Raw genomic sequence first — 15,431 nt, 5'->3', positions numbered from 1 at the left:
GACCTTGAGGAATATAGCAGGGTATGAGATAAACAAGGTGGCTGCTCTCATGTCACCTTACTCTAAAAACTAGAACACACACACACACACACACACACACACACACACACACACACACACACACACAGAGAGAGAGAGAGAGAGAGCTATATAACTATATATTTAATTAAACAAAGTAGATATGTAAATACAAATAGAAACATTTTCAGAGGCAAACATGTAACATACAGATTTTAAAGCTTAAATAAAAGCCTTTTCTAAGCATGTGATTTATTTTTTACATCTCACATTGCGTGATTTAGGACAGGAAACACAATAATCTAATAAAAGATGTATTGATCTAAACAAAGTACCCAGCACTTTAATAAAATATGTCCTCATAATGTATTAGTTATGAAAAAGATCATTTTCTGACAGGACACATTTTTTCAATTAGAAAATGTGACAGGTCTTTGCTACAACACTTTTTCACACATAGAGTTTATCATTAAGATAATCTTCTTCTTACTAATCTTTTCGTTACTTAAGAACCAAGATGTTTGTGACAACATGTCTTCTTCTGTAAGGTAGACTGTGGTAGGCACCTTTAAAATGGCACCCAGGAATCAATGGCTCTTTATAATCATGCCCTTGTGAAATCCCCTTCCTTTAACTGTGGACGGGATTTAGTGACTCACTTCCCACAGGTTGAAAATAATAGTAGTGATGGGATATCACTGCTAAATTGGATTATATTTTAAAAAATACTCATAGTTTTTATCTGGAGAACTTCCTGACTTACTGGCTTTCCCCTCCCCTCCTCTCTTTCTTTCCTTTTCCCTCTCTATTTCTCTGCCCAGTGACCCCCGGGAGAGGCTACTTGAAGAAGAAAGGTATTACAGAATCAGAGGCCACAGAGAACTGAGGCATCCCAGCCAGCACCAACTGTCAGCCAGGTAAGTGAGACCTACCGGAAGCAGACGAGGCTTCCAATGATGCAGCCACAAGTAACAGTTTGACGTCAACCTCATGAAAGACTCGCTCAGCAAATTACTACTGAATTCCTGATCCAGAGAAACTGCGAGATAATAAATGTTTGTTTGAAGACACTAAGGTTTGAATAATTAGTTACAAAGCACTAGGTGAACAGCAAATATTCCAAGGACCTGACTTTTGAGGATTATGAGGATGAATTTAGAATCTCCTTTTTTATACTTCAATGATTTAAATTAGGCCAGAAGAATATGGTGACATCATCTTAATATCTTCATCAGAAAGAAATAAAATTTTTCCTTTTCTTTTTTTGTTTTGCTCAGTGGAATTACAGTTTGTTTTGTCATGAGATCTACTGAGTCAGTTGAGTCAAATATAAATACTTCATAATCAAACTTCATTTTGAAACCTCATTTTTTGCAATGGATTAGTAACCAAAAAGGAATGGCATTCTTACCTCCAAAAAAGTACTTCTCGCCAGTTTTAACTTGAAGGGGACTATTAGTTCGAACTGCTGATGCTTCATCTCCATCGATGGTGAGAATAGCAAAATTTTCCTTGGCTAGGAAGCGAACCTCGTGCCACTGTCCATCATTCAACCCAGAACCTGGTAAGTACAAGATAAAAGTCATTTTTATCTTAAAATTACCCAGCTGAACACAATTTCCAAAATCAACAAATCACGATTTTACAAATAAAAGTATTTTTCTCTTGGAAAATACAGTGCTGCTTACAATTCAAACTGACGTCTCATGTCTCTTTAACATCATCATAAGTGGTTCTATACTCCACCTAACTGAATAAGGCATAATATAACCCAATCAAGTAGAGAAGCAGTATTAATACCGCTGTGTACTTAGGGAAAGAAATGGATTGAAAAAAAGTCATTTAGATGACCTCGGCCTCCCAAAGTGCTGGGATTACAGGCGTGAGCCACTGCATCCAGCCACTGAGCACATTTTATGATTATGTGCTATTTTAACTTAGTGAATTATGAACTACTTTAACTTAGTAATTTATTTTCTGGTTAGCTTTGCTAGATCTTATTCTCAGACAAGAAAATGAATTTATGGCTTTTATCTAAAGTCTGTCTTTGTTTTTAAAATCTTTATTTTTCTGTATAGCTTGTTTTCTCTCAATAAACACATTTGGTAAGTATAGTTTATAGAAATTAAGTACTAAATAATAACTGTGCATGTGTAGTTATAAGTACGAACTGACCACTAATAGTCATGGAAAATAATGATAGGATTATCTGAACATTTACAAATAAGTTATCTTTATAATGGAGTACATGGTATTAAAAAAAAAAAACAGCAAAATAAATCAAGAATGCATATCCCCAACAATGGCACTTCATTGTTGCTTGATACAACGATCTTTGGAAACAAAAATTAGATTGAATTGTCCATTAGCTGGACAGTAGCTTAAAGCTTTTGTTTAGTTTGTGTTCATTTTATGAAGAATAGTCAGAAAATTAAAAAGCAAAAATAGGAGAGCAGCCAGGAAACATAAGCATCTGGACAAAGTTTAACACTGGGTAGCAGAGAAAACCAAGAGGGCCAGAGGGGCTTTCTTCGACCCTGTGAAGGCCTGTGCTATGACAAGGTGGTGGGTGGGGGGTATTTTGTGCTATTCTTCTTCAGACGGCACAATGTAGAATCCACAGGTAGAAGTTACATGAGGACGTGCTTCAGTTTCACAAAAGAAAGAGAACTCTAACGAATAAAGGTGTCCAAAAATAGAATGAGAGCAAATCAATGACACACAGATCAAGGCTCCAAGCTCCTGATAATTTATACCAGGAATCTGAAAAACCACAGTTTGTGGCTGAAATCTGGCTTGCTGCCACCTGCTTTTCTATAACCTGTGAGCTAAGAATGGTTTTTACTTTTCTAAATGGTTGGAAAGAAATCAAAAGAAGAATAATGTTTAGTGACATGTGAAAATTATATACAATTCAAATGTTAGTGTCCATATAAATGTTATTGGAATGTAGCCAAGTACATTTATTTACATACCACATGCCCTACATCAAGAGTCAGCTGCACTGGAAACTATGTAGTTCATAAAGCCTAGGCTATTTACTACATGTGCTCCTTTATAGGAAAATCATACATTACTAGTTGGTTTATACTAAGAAATAGAAAAACTATTTTAAAGAACTTAAGGGCTGTTGGAGCTTAGAAGATAGTCACATGTTTGTAGTAGTTACTCATAGTAAGTATTATTACACATAATCACCCCTCAGGGTTTTGTGGGTTTTTTTTAGGATTTTCAAATTTTAATTTAGTAATACTTACTGAGCCCCTCTTTTTTTTTTGTGATGGAGTTTCACTCTTGTTTCCTAGGCTGGAGTGCAATGACGGGATCTCGGCTCACTGCAACCTCCGCCTCCTGGGTTCAAGTGATTCTCCCACCTCAGCCTCCCAAGTAGCGGGGATTATAGGCGTGCATCACCACAGCTGGCTAATTTTGTATTTTTAGTAGAGACATGGTTTCACCATGTCAGGCTGGTCCTGAACTCCTGACCTCAAGTGATCCACCCACCTTGGCCTCCCAAAGTGCTGGGATTACAGGCCTGAGCCACTGCGCCTGGCCACTGAGCACATTTTGTTTCAATCAAGAAAACAGTATAAAATCCCTGCTCTAAAGGAATTAATGCAAAAGACTTTCCAAATTATAAAATTTAGCATACAAGTGAATATATGTATAAATAGTATGCATAATATAAATAATGTAATAAGGCAAACAGCTATGTGAGCCCACTATCATCTCTGGTCTACCATATGATCCAGCAATCCAACTACTACGTATATACCCAAAAGGAAGAAAATACGTACACGGAAGAGATATCTGCACTCCTATGTTTGTTGCAGCACTGTTTACGATAGCTAAGATTTGGAAGCAACCAAAGTGTCCATCAACAGATGAATACAGAGTATTTCATTACCCCCCAATTGTTCCTCTGATTTCACTCTTTGCACTAACAGTCTAATCTCCCCACAAAGTGGTATTATCTTTATAAATGTATAACTGAGATCACACTATTCCCTATAACAGCTTTCTGTTCTTTTTGAACTCACGAAAAGTACTGACTAAAGTCCTTTTGGTGAACTAAGATGTGTCATGTGAACCATCTGGAATGCCTCGTGTGAATTATCTGCATGGTTTTGCTCCCTCACATCAGATCTCTGTGCAAATGTCATCTTAAGAGAGAGGTGGTCTTTCCTAGCTATTCTAAATAACATATCATTTTCCTCTCTCTCCCAACATTCCTTCTTTTCTGAGCTTTATTTTTCCTTATAGTTTCTCATTACTAAATTTATTATATGTTCATTTACTAGCATACTTACTAATTTTCTGTCTTCTATCACTTGATTATAAGCTCTCTTTTGTCTGTTTTCTTCTCTACTAAAAAAACCCTAAAGTTAAAACCATGTCTGGTACATAGTGGGTGTGAATGAATAACTGAATGAATCTGAGGGAGTGATCATGACCAGGAATCTGGCACTCTAGGTTTCATAGATGGCCAAGTAAATGATGAAACATAAAAAAGCAATAAAAATAGCATTGGAGTTGCTGACTATGGCTTCTCAGCTCTACACGGTAATGTGCAATATGACTCATTCTAAGGGTAAGGATTAAGTGGATATAATTTTTTTTGTTAAGTTTAATTTAATGTCAATAGATGTTCCTGGAAATCCCCATCATCCTAAGTCCATTTGTAATTGACCTTTCTCTGTTATCAAGTTATTAAATGAAGTATATCTCTTCATCCCACTCTGGCTGTCACCTGCAGAAAACTCCCATACATTTCAATGGCTTCCAATGATGTAGAAAGAGGAACAGTCCAGAAACTAGGTGTGCAAGGGACTGTAGTTACTACAGCCTCTCAGAGAGACTCCAGTGGGCTAGAACTCAGGTGCCCATAGTAACAATCTCCTTATTAAAGAACCTTTTTGTGGCTTTCCACCCCAACTTGTCTCACCTCCCCTCTCCCAGATTGCATTTATTGGACCAATGTCAAATAAACAATATGCACCCATATTCATATATCAGGGTCTACTTTTTGGTACTCATAGGTTACTTTGTAAGATAGTTCCTCACTGGAAAAAGAAAAAGGCATGATTTAAGTCCAAGTTCTGTTTCTGACAAGAATATCTTAAGTCATTTAATCCCAGAGTTTTATTTTTCCTGTCCATACAAAAATTGGGAAAACAATAAATGTTATTTCTTATCTTTCAAATATTCTGAAGAACAACACAGATACAATCTCTTGTACTATAAAATTACTCTATGCATGTAAAGGCTTATTCTTGAAGTTAACTGTCAGTCAAGCAGCAGTGTTTACTGAAATAGTTCCATCTCAAGTGGGTCCCTTTGGGTATTCCCAAGGAATTGATGCACTGAAGACCCTATCTTCACCATAGCATTTCCCTTTAAAGTACAAAGTAGGATTTATTGTTGATTAACTATAGGACTGCATGGTTTTTTGATTTTTGTCTTTATAATTTGACAAACCCTGCTATGAAATACAGTTTTAGGACATGGATCTCAAAGATATCAACGTGATATTTGTTCAGTCCCCAAATCCAATCCTAAATAATCACATGTCCAGAGATAGACCCTTATAAAATATCTTCGGTTACTCTAAGTGGAAGAACAAGAAAGCCTTTCAGAGAATTCCACGACAATTTCTCCATCACAAAATTAATTTAGAAATGGAACATCTTCCTTTTAATTTTTCATGGCAAAAGGTCTATTATTCTAATCAGATTAAAATTAAAAGGTTATTTTATTTTCTTCCAGGAACTTAATTACTAGAGAAATTAGAACCCAGATTAAAGGATCCTTGCTGATAGCAGCCACTACTGTATCAAAGCTTAAGCTTTGATTCCTATTCATTTCATTTCCAATTATTATTTTGAAATTTTAATGTTAATTATCAAGAGGTAATACCTCAGTAATCTATGATAAAAATGGGTCCCCAAATGTAATGAAGTTTATTCTTAAATGTGGCAAGGAAGACCCAATTTCTTATAGAAAAATGTGCTGCTTCTTTCATATTTTGTCTACATCTTGTAAGAAATAGTATCCTGAAGGCTGTCTCCAGAGAAGAATAGAATTTCATGATCTTTTTATATGTCAGCATATATAGTATAAAGTTCTAAGCTCTATGTGCTAGCCATGGTGATACTTTGCTTGCATTTGATTCGTAATACCTCACAAAATTTTTTTAAACAATTATCTCCAGTATATAGGGAAGGACTGAGTCTACCAATCTGTAAGCATCCTATAGATGGTAACAGGTAAAGGTTAGAATTTGAACTCAGACATAGTTGGTTCTAGAGCTTGAACAAATAAACAAGAACCACAACAAAATACATTATTTATATAGACCCTGTGCATCCATGATCAGAGTTTTCTTATACTATGCAAACACACACACACAACACGTGCACACACACACACACGCATGCACACACACACATGGGTACACACGCATGCGCACACACACTTCCATTTGCTACCACATCTGGAGAAGTGCTCAGTTTCTGGGGATAGCCATATCTCATACAGCATCAGGTCTGGAAATAAAATGAGGCTTTGAGTAGGTGGATTAAGTATTTGTATACTAGTTACTATTAGTATTTGTACAGCATTAGAATGGTGGCTGCCAGATAGGAGACAGTGTATCTATATTATTAAGACAAAAACATGGACACTTTAATTCATTTTATTTCATAGAAAAGTAAGCTGAGACACATTTAATAATTTGTCTTTCATCAGGGTGCTGTGGCTCACACCTGCAATCCCAGCACTATGGGAGGCCGAGGCGGGTGGATTACCTGAGGTCAGGAGTTTGAGACCAGCCTGGCCAACATGATGAAACCCAGTCTCTACTAAAAATACAAAAAATTAGCCGGGTGTGGTGGTGGGCACTTGTAATCCCAGCTACTTGGGAGGCTGAGGCAGGAGAATTGCTTGAACCCGGGATGTGGAGGTTGCAGCAAGCTGAGATCGTGTCACTGCACTCCAGAATGGGCAACAAGAGCAAAACTTCATCTCAAAACAAAAAAAAAAATTGTCTTTGGAGTTTACTATCTCATAATTACAAATATTAATGTAGTGATAAGCTTTCTAAACAAGAAAGCAATGCAGTAAGTCTTTACAATGTGGAGATCATAAATTTCACCTACAGGACAACTAAAAAATGCATCTTAGCCAGTCCTTTGTTAATGGGAATTTGAGGCTTGGGAAAACATATACAGTGATATGGGAAACTTATCCTATATCTTAAACAACTAAGACAAAGGTGAAGATGATTTGTTCTACAGAAATGTGTAGATGATTCACAAAGTTAGGGCAAAGACACTGACATTAAAGTTGCCTGTGCAGACATTAGAACAAAATTATTTCTAAAAAGTGAGAATGAAAAAATGAACTTTCTAAATGATTTATGTATGTAATCTGAAAAACACATAAATATTATTGACATCTTCACTTAGGCCTTGACAGTTTATGTGCAAGTTAGTAAAAATATAAAATAATCCAGGGAAAATGGAGAATTGCCTTATATTTGGGGTCATAATATATTCAGGCACACGTGGAGCTTGCCCCATAAGAGGCTGAGATTGAATTGGAACCCGGTGTGGTATGTACCACTGTTATAATTCTGTACCACATACAGTGTGGTATGTACCATTGTTATAATTCGTAATGATAAAAGTGTTTCAACTGTACCTTCTAAAAGGAAACTGATATTCATATAAAGAAAATTTAACCTAAAACGAACATCTTTGAAACCATATTACAGCACCTTCTCATTTTATATTTTTATAACTAAATTGTTTTATAATATTTTCTCTAACACCTCCCTAACTTATAATTGTTAGAAACACTTGTTTTGTATGCAAATGTAAAATATTAATGAAAAGTTTTCTATCCGTGCTTTCTAATGTTATCATTTTTAAAGTAAGACTCTTGAGGAAGTTGCTTTGATTGAACAAGAAGAAACAGATGTTGCTCTTATTAGAGACAAGAAGAAAAGACTGGTTTAATGAATGTTGAAAAAAGAAAAAGAACGTATTTAAAATATAATGGCAAACCAAGATGTAACATCTGTTAGAAAATGCTTCAAGTAAAATTACAGTGACTGGAGTTTTCAGTCTTGTGATCAATATTCAATCTTGAGAGCAAAATTTCCTAGAATATGAATTCATCTTTAGGCAGTTACAGGGTTCTATGATGTGTTACTAATATATCTTATTAATAATCAATTATCCTTTTATGCAATAAAACTTTAAAAAGGTATATAAATTTTCATATAAATATGCCATGCACTATTTCTTATCTATAAAAATTCCATATCATAAGAAAATGGATCCATTTTGACCTTTCTCATTTTCACATGCCAATCTAAACCACATTATAAATATGATCAATTGTTGTCAGATAAAACATGTAAAAAGGTGCTTGGGCAGGTACAAGGTACTTTTGTTTTTTATGATAAAGAAACTGCCAAATGCCTTATTGTAAAGTTACAAAGAGTCACTTTGGAATGTGTGGTTATTTTGGAAAAATCACTTGAATAGAAACTTTAAGTAAAACAAATACATTGGGGAGATCGTATGTCATGACATTTTTTGGATGTGTTATTAGAAATGATCACTTCATAGCTGGGTGTGGTGGCTTATGCCTGCAATCCCAGCACTTTGGAAGGCAGAAGCGGGCATATCACCCAAGGTCTGGAGTTTGAGACCAGCCTGACCAACATGGTGAAACCCCGTCTCTACTAAAAATACAAAATTAGCCAGCATGGTGGTGCATGCCTGTAATCCCAGCTACTCCAGAGGCTGAGGCAGGAGAATCACCTGAACTAGGGAGGCAGAGGTTGCAGTGAACCAAGATTGTGGTATTGCACTCCAGCCTGGTCAATAAGAGCAAAACCCTGTCTCAAATAAACAAACAAACAGAAATGACCACTTCATTTATTTAATACGTAGAATCTTAGGGATGGATGGGATGAATTCTTTTCTTACAGGCACCCAAATTCTTCTAAGAAAAAAGGATCTAGGTAGTGGTCCTTATCTTGTCTGCACATGAGAGTCATTTGGGGGAGCTTTTAAAGTTCCACCCTGATTCCTCCAAATCATCAGTGAGAGAAATTAAGGCACTAAACAAATGGAGATACATACCATGCGATTCTAACCGAAACCCAACAATATAGTTTTTGTAGAAATGCATGAGATGATTCAAAAATGTTTAAGAAAATGCAAAAAAAATCCTTAAATATTCAAAATAAGCAAAAAAGAAAAACCAAGTTAGAGAACTTATCATTTGATTTCAAGATTATACATGTATATCATCAGAGAAAGATCATAAATAGACTCACATGTAGGTAGTCAATTGTTTTTTAACAAAGGCACCAAGACAATTTAATGGTGAATGAAAAGTGTCTTTTACAAAAAATGATGCCAGAACAACTGGATAAATACAGAGAAGATGTATTTTTGACTTCTACTTTATACAATCAAACAAAAAAATAGTTCTGAAAGGATTTGAGACCTAAGAAAACAGAATATTTTCAGGACCTGGGGGCTAACAGAGGTTTCCTAGAGGACATCAAAATCACTTGATAATTTGAGATCCATCAAATTTAAAAACTTTTTCTCATCAACAGACATGGTTAATAAAATCCACGGCAAGAAAGAGACTAGGAAAAATTATTTTCAGTGCATGTATCTTAAAACAGAATATACTAAAATATACTAAGAGCTCCTGTAAATCAATAATCACTGGAAAAAATGGGCAGAAGTCACATCCCAAATAAAGATCTATTAATTATTCATAAGCACATTAAAAAGTGCTTTATATTATTAGTCATCAGGGAAACCAAAACCATGATATATAATTTTATACCCATTTCGGTGGCCAAAAATTAAAAGGGCTAACTAGCATCTAGAGCAATTTGAACCCTCATGCATTGCTGGTTGGAGTATAAAATTGTACAATCTTTTTGGAAAACTCTGGACAATTTTTAATAAAGTTAAACATATATTAATCCTATGACCCAACAATCCCCCTCCTAAGTATATATCTACCAATATCAGAATGTATGTTGCAAAAATACTCATACAGGAATGCTTGACAGCCTTATTCATGACAGTTGCAAATTGGAAATAAACACATGTACATACAGTATATATTCAAACAAGGAAATATTGCTAAATAATAAAAAAGAAAAAGGAATGAACTAGTGATACAAGCAACAGCATCAATGAATTTTTAAAATATTGTGTTTTGTAAGAAAAACCTGGACATAAAAATAACATATTTTATGAATATGTTCATAGAACTAGTTTATAAAATAGATACAGGGAGGGGAACATCACACACCGGGGCCTGTTGTGGAGTGAGGGGAAAGGGGAGGGAGAGCATTAGGACAAATACCTCATGCATGTGGGGCTTAAAACCTAGATGATGGGTTGATAGGTGCGGCAAACCACCATGGCACATGTATAGCTATATAACAAACCTGTACGTTCGGCACATGTATCCCAGAACTTCAAGTAAAATAAAATTTAAAAAAAGAATAAAAAAATCAAGCTGATAGAAATCAGAACAGCAGCTGTCTATGGGAAGGTGGGCACAAGTGGGAATGGACTGTAGGGTGGCACGAGGAACTTTCTGAGGGAGAGAAAAAGTTCTATATGCTGATTCCATGTTTGCTGTCTAAGTGTATATACTCATCCAAATCCATTGAATTGTACTTTTAAGATCTGCGCATGTCATGAACAGTTGGTCCTTATTATTTGCAGATTCAACATTTGTGAATTTGCCTACTTGCTAAAATTTAGTTATAAACCCAAAATCAATACCCATGGTCATTTAAAGACTCATGCATGTACAGAGTGGTCCTAAGGCACAAGTTTCCAACTGAGCTAACGCTTTGCCTTCTTGTTTAAGGTCTCAACCTGCAAACAGGTATTCTTTTCACTGTATATCCAGTGCCTCTTTTCACTGTATATCCAGTGCCTTTTTTTTTTTTTTTTTTTTTTGGAGATGGAGTCTCACTCTGTCACTGAGGCTGGAGTGCAGTGGTGCAATCTCAGCCCACTGCAACCTCCACCTCCCGGGTTCAAGCAATTCTCCTGCCTCAACCTCCCGAGTAGCTGGGATTACAGGCACAAGCCACCACGCTCGGCTAATTTTTTTGTAATTTTAGTAGAGACAGGGTTTCAGCGGGTTGCCCAGGCTGGTCTTGAACTCCTGAGCTCAGGCAATCCACCCGCCTCGGCCTCCCAAAGTGCTGGATTACAGGAGTGAGCCACTGCACCCTGCCAGTGTCATATTTTTTATACTTTGGTGCTTTTGTTGACTTTGCTGTTAAAAGCGGTCCCCTGACATAGTACTGAAGTGCTCTTTAGTGTTCCTAAGTTAAAGCTGTTATGTGCCTTACATAAAAAATATGTGTTTGTTAAATTTGATTCAGGCATAAGTTATAATGCTGTTGAACATGAGTTCAGTTTTAATCAATGATAAATATTAAATACAGTAACTTTAAACAGAAACACACACAAAACAAGGTTATGTATTGATTAGTTGGTGCAAATATTGTGATCAGAGGCTGGCAGGAACCTAACCCTGTATTTCCCGTAGGAAAAATGGTTCAATAGTTGCCAATTCAATTTTCACAGTGACTATACAGAACATAACTATATATTGACTAATGAGAACGATGAGAATCTACTGTATGTAATTTTTACCTCAATAATATGTAAATGTTTTCAAATGGAGTAATAGTGGTGCTATTCATTTTAAAATTCAACTAAATTTCATTCAATGTCTACTTTATGCTGTGTTTTCTACGTCATCAAACAATGGGAAACCCAATATATATGAAATTATTTGCTCTTAAACAGGAGAAAACAATTAGACTCTTAAAATGTTGAACTTACAGAGATCAATATTTTAGCATATTAAAAATTAAATAACTACCCCAAGACTAAATGTTCATGAAAAAAATTTTGGTAGCTTTTTCAACCATTACTGATTCCTAGCCAAAAGACAAACATCACTATACTTCAAAAACTCTTATTTGAAACTTTATTATTCTGCCAATGATTAATTTCTTTTCTTGACATAATCTTACAGACCAGGTAACTTTAGTAGGAATATGTTTATACAAGGAGCCATTTTCATTAATCTTATCACTTTTGGCAGATGCCTGCCTTCCTTCCTTCTTTCCTTTCTTTCTTCCTTCCTTCCCTCCTTTCCTTTATCTTTCTTTCCTCTTTATTTCTCACTCTCCCCAATTGTCTCTCCTGTTTTTTTTTTAGTATTTGATTCTCTGTTGAATATAAAACACAATACAAGTTGTCATGAATAGGAAGCTATTGTTGGCTTCAAGGAGGGTTCTAATTCATCTGACTATTGATTAATGAAAAAATGTAGGTAAGATCTAAGATGGGGTGTGGTAAAGCCGTTAAGTCTGGGTATCATACCAGGATGTCATTTATACCAGGGTTTCAAATGACAATATCAATCCTCTGTTTATTTGTAAATATGTATTGAATACCTACTATTTCCTAAGTACTATTTTAGCACTAGAGATACAGTAAGTCATAACTGGTTTCTGGTCTAGAAATATTTAGCTATTTTAATTTGAATAAGTTTTTACATTTCTTTGTAACTTGGTTTCCTTATAGAGGAAATCATGATTCATGAGTCATAATGTATATGAGGTACCTGATACTATTGAGAGACAGTAGCAGCTTTTATCATTATTATTTTGTCATGTATGTATAAAGACAAAGTACATGTATGTATAAAGGGAAGGCACTTTGGAGGTTTTAGAAAAGGAACACATCACATTTTGTATGTAGTGTGTGAGGTCACAAGACAAAGACATTATAGAGTGGCATTTGAGATGGGTTTCAGGTTTTAAATACAGACTTTTAAAGAATACAATTCTTCATCCATAAAGTGACATTTATTGGAAAAAACTTGGAAAACCCAAAAAAGTATAACAGAGAAAATATTCATATCATGAAGAGATGTCACACTTAATATCTGTTGTATTTCATCTGGCTTTGGCCATGAGTAACTGCAAACTACTCTCGTTACTTTGATAACTGAAGAAAGGTTAAAAAACAGGAAGAAGCACGTGATGATCATCGTCTGCTTTCTCTGATTTCTTATGACTGGGGTGATTTGACAGTCTTTGCTTTTCATCTTAACTTTTCAGCTGTTCTCTAAAGAGAGGAACGTGTAAATTTGCTCCCACCAGCTTAAGCCCTTTTACAGTTCTCCTTCAAAGAGTCAAGCTCATTCTTTCACTCATTTATTCACTCATTAATTCATCTCTTACAATGCAACTGGCATAGTTTGAGGTGCCAGGGGTATAAGAGTAAAGAAGACACACAAGGCCCCTGCCCTCAGGGAGCTTATATTCTTGTGTGCAAAGACAGACAATGGGTTTACAGGTACAATTTCAGACAGTGATAACTGCTATAAAATAACTAAAACAGAGATTGTAATAGAGAGATAAGAATGATTGACAAAAGGGTAATGCTCTGAGGAGGTGACAGTAAATCTGAAGCCTGAAGGACAACAAGAGGTCAGCCACATGATGATTTGATGCAAAGGCCCTGAGAGAAAATATGCTTGGTGTATTGGAGTGCCAGACCAAAGGGACCAGAGTGCAAAAGGTAAGGGGGAAGGACTGAGGAAATAAGAGAAAATATATAGGTAAAGGCCTGATAAGTAGAAGGCAAGAGTGAAGGTAAGGACATCTATTAGGATGCTCTTACCGTCATTAGGGCAAGAGACGATGGAAGTTTGGACGGAGGTTAGCACTGGAGAAATGTGGCCAGATTTTTCACGTTTTGGAAGCACAACTGGTGGGTCATTGACTGGCTGTCGAAAGTTTGAGAAATAGATCTGTAACTTAAGCAACTGAGTGGAAATTGATGCCATTTAACTGTAATGAGAGACTGGGGGAGGGAGTCGAGGTTGGGCGAATCTGTTAGATCACCAAGTAGAGATATCAGGTAGGCAGTTATATATTTGGGTCTGGAGCTCAAGAAAAAAATGTAGTCTGGAGATACAAATCGTATGTCATGAGTGTAAGTCACGGGGCAAGATGAAGTTACCTGGGGAGAGACTTGACACAGAAAAGAGAGTTTAGGCTGAACCTTGGAGTACTCTAAATTTTCAAAGTTGAGGAAATGGATGAGAGGCCAGGTAGCAGAGATTCTTTGCTTGACTAAACTTTAGTTAAGCTCCTGAAGTTTCTCCAAGGCCCATCTGTGCAATTCCTTATACAATTCAGCTTAGCAAAGAACCCTGCTAAGTCAGTTTAGCAAGACACACCCCCATTCCTACTCCCCCTGCTCTGATTTTCCATATCTAATTACCCCGATGATATCTGATCAGGTTCCTCATCCTTCGCCATCTCCCGGGGGATGGTGGATCACCCCAGCTTGTTTTCAGTGAGAATCCTGTTAGGACAGTTTAACCAGAATCCTGTTTGCACCTGATGTTTCTTCTTAGTAATGTTGCATCCACTGACCCCACTCTATTCTTTGGCTATATAAATTCCCACTTGCCCGTGCTATATTTGAAGTTGAGCGTAGTCTCCGCCACTGCAAAATCCCATTGCTGTGGTCCCCATACCCATTGAGATGGCACTGAATAAAATATTTCTCACCATGCCGTAACAAGTGTCACTGAATATTTTTTTTTCTTTAACAAAGAAAGATTACTGAGAGAGTGGCCAGTAAAAGAATAGGAGAATGTGATGTGAAGAAGGAAACTATTTGAAGAAGCAGGGACTAGTCAACTCTTATAAGTGCATCTGAGACATCAAGTAAAACAAGGAGGAGAAGTGAACATTAGATTTGAGAATGTGAAGGAGAATGTTGATTGGAGTGGAAAGGGGAGAATATGGTAGGTGAATGGAAAGGGAAGATATGACCCTCGAGTAGTTTAGCTATAAAGGAGAAGAACTTTGAATAGTGGTGTATATTGAGAAGCTAATGAAAACTATGAATCCTGATCCAAGAAAAACTCATTCATATATACCCCAAATTTGTATGCACTTTCAGTGGTTTAGGTCTTCTCTCAGGTTCAGAACCCTGGTTTATATAATTCATCATTCTTTAATTGCACCATTTGACTTTATTGGGTAATGCATATATTATCATTTCATTTATGCTTTTCAGATTATTTTTCTTACGTTCCGTTTTTTCTATTTAAACATTTATAGGTTATATTTCCTGTTCCTTAGCTTTTTAAAATAAATATCCAAGTTAATTTTTTAAATTAAATATTAGTATTTGTTTACAGTCACTGTTTTGTTCTGTTCTAAGCAGAGATTTGTAGTGATAAGATTGTTATTGTATCATTTTAGGAATATAAGTTTTCATTATTATTATTACAATTTCTTAAAT

At 35.9% G+C, this 15,431-nt stretch overlaps 1 protein-coding gene across 2 annotated transcripts in view; it reads right to left on the bottom strand.

Annotated features, from left to right (window-relative positions):
* Window positions 1-15,431, bottom strand: part of CNTNAP2 (contactin associated protein 2) — a 2,304,198-nt gene that overhangs the window by 1,119,279 nt on the left and 1,169,488 nt on the right. For both annotated transcript variants that reach the window (NM_014141.6, XM_017011950.3), the window contains exon 9: window positions 1,430-1,579. In NM_014141.6, coding sequence (NP_054860.1) covers window positions 1,430-1,579 — 150 coding nt within the window. The remainder of the gene's footprint in view (window positions 1-1,429; window positions 1,580-15,431) is intronic.

The sequence above is a fragment of the Homo sapiens genome, chromosome 7, assembly GCF_000001405.40.
Source record: "Homo sapiens chromosome 7, GRCh38.p14 Primary Assembly".
NCBI classification, from domain to species: domain Eukaryota; kingdom Metazoa; phylum Chordata; class Mammalia; order Primates; family Hominidae; genus Homo; species Homo sapiens.
Note: the sequence above shows the minus strand (reverse complement) of the source record. Positions and strands in the feature narration are given on the sequence as shown.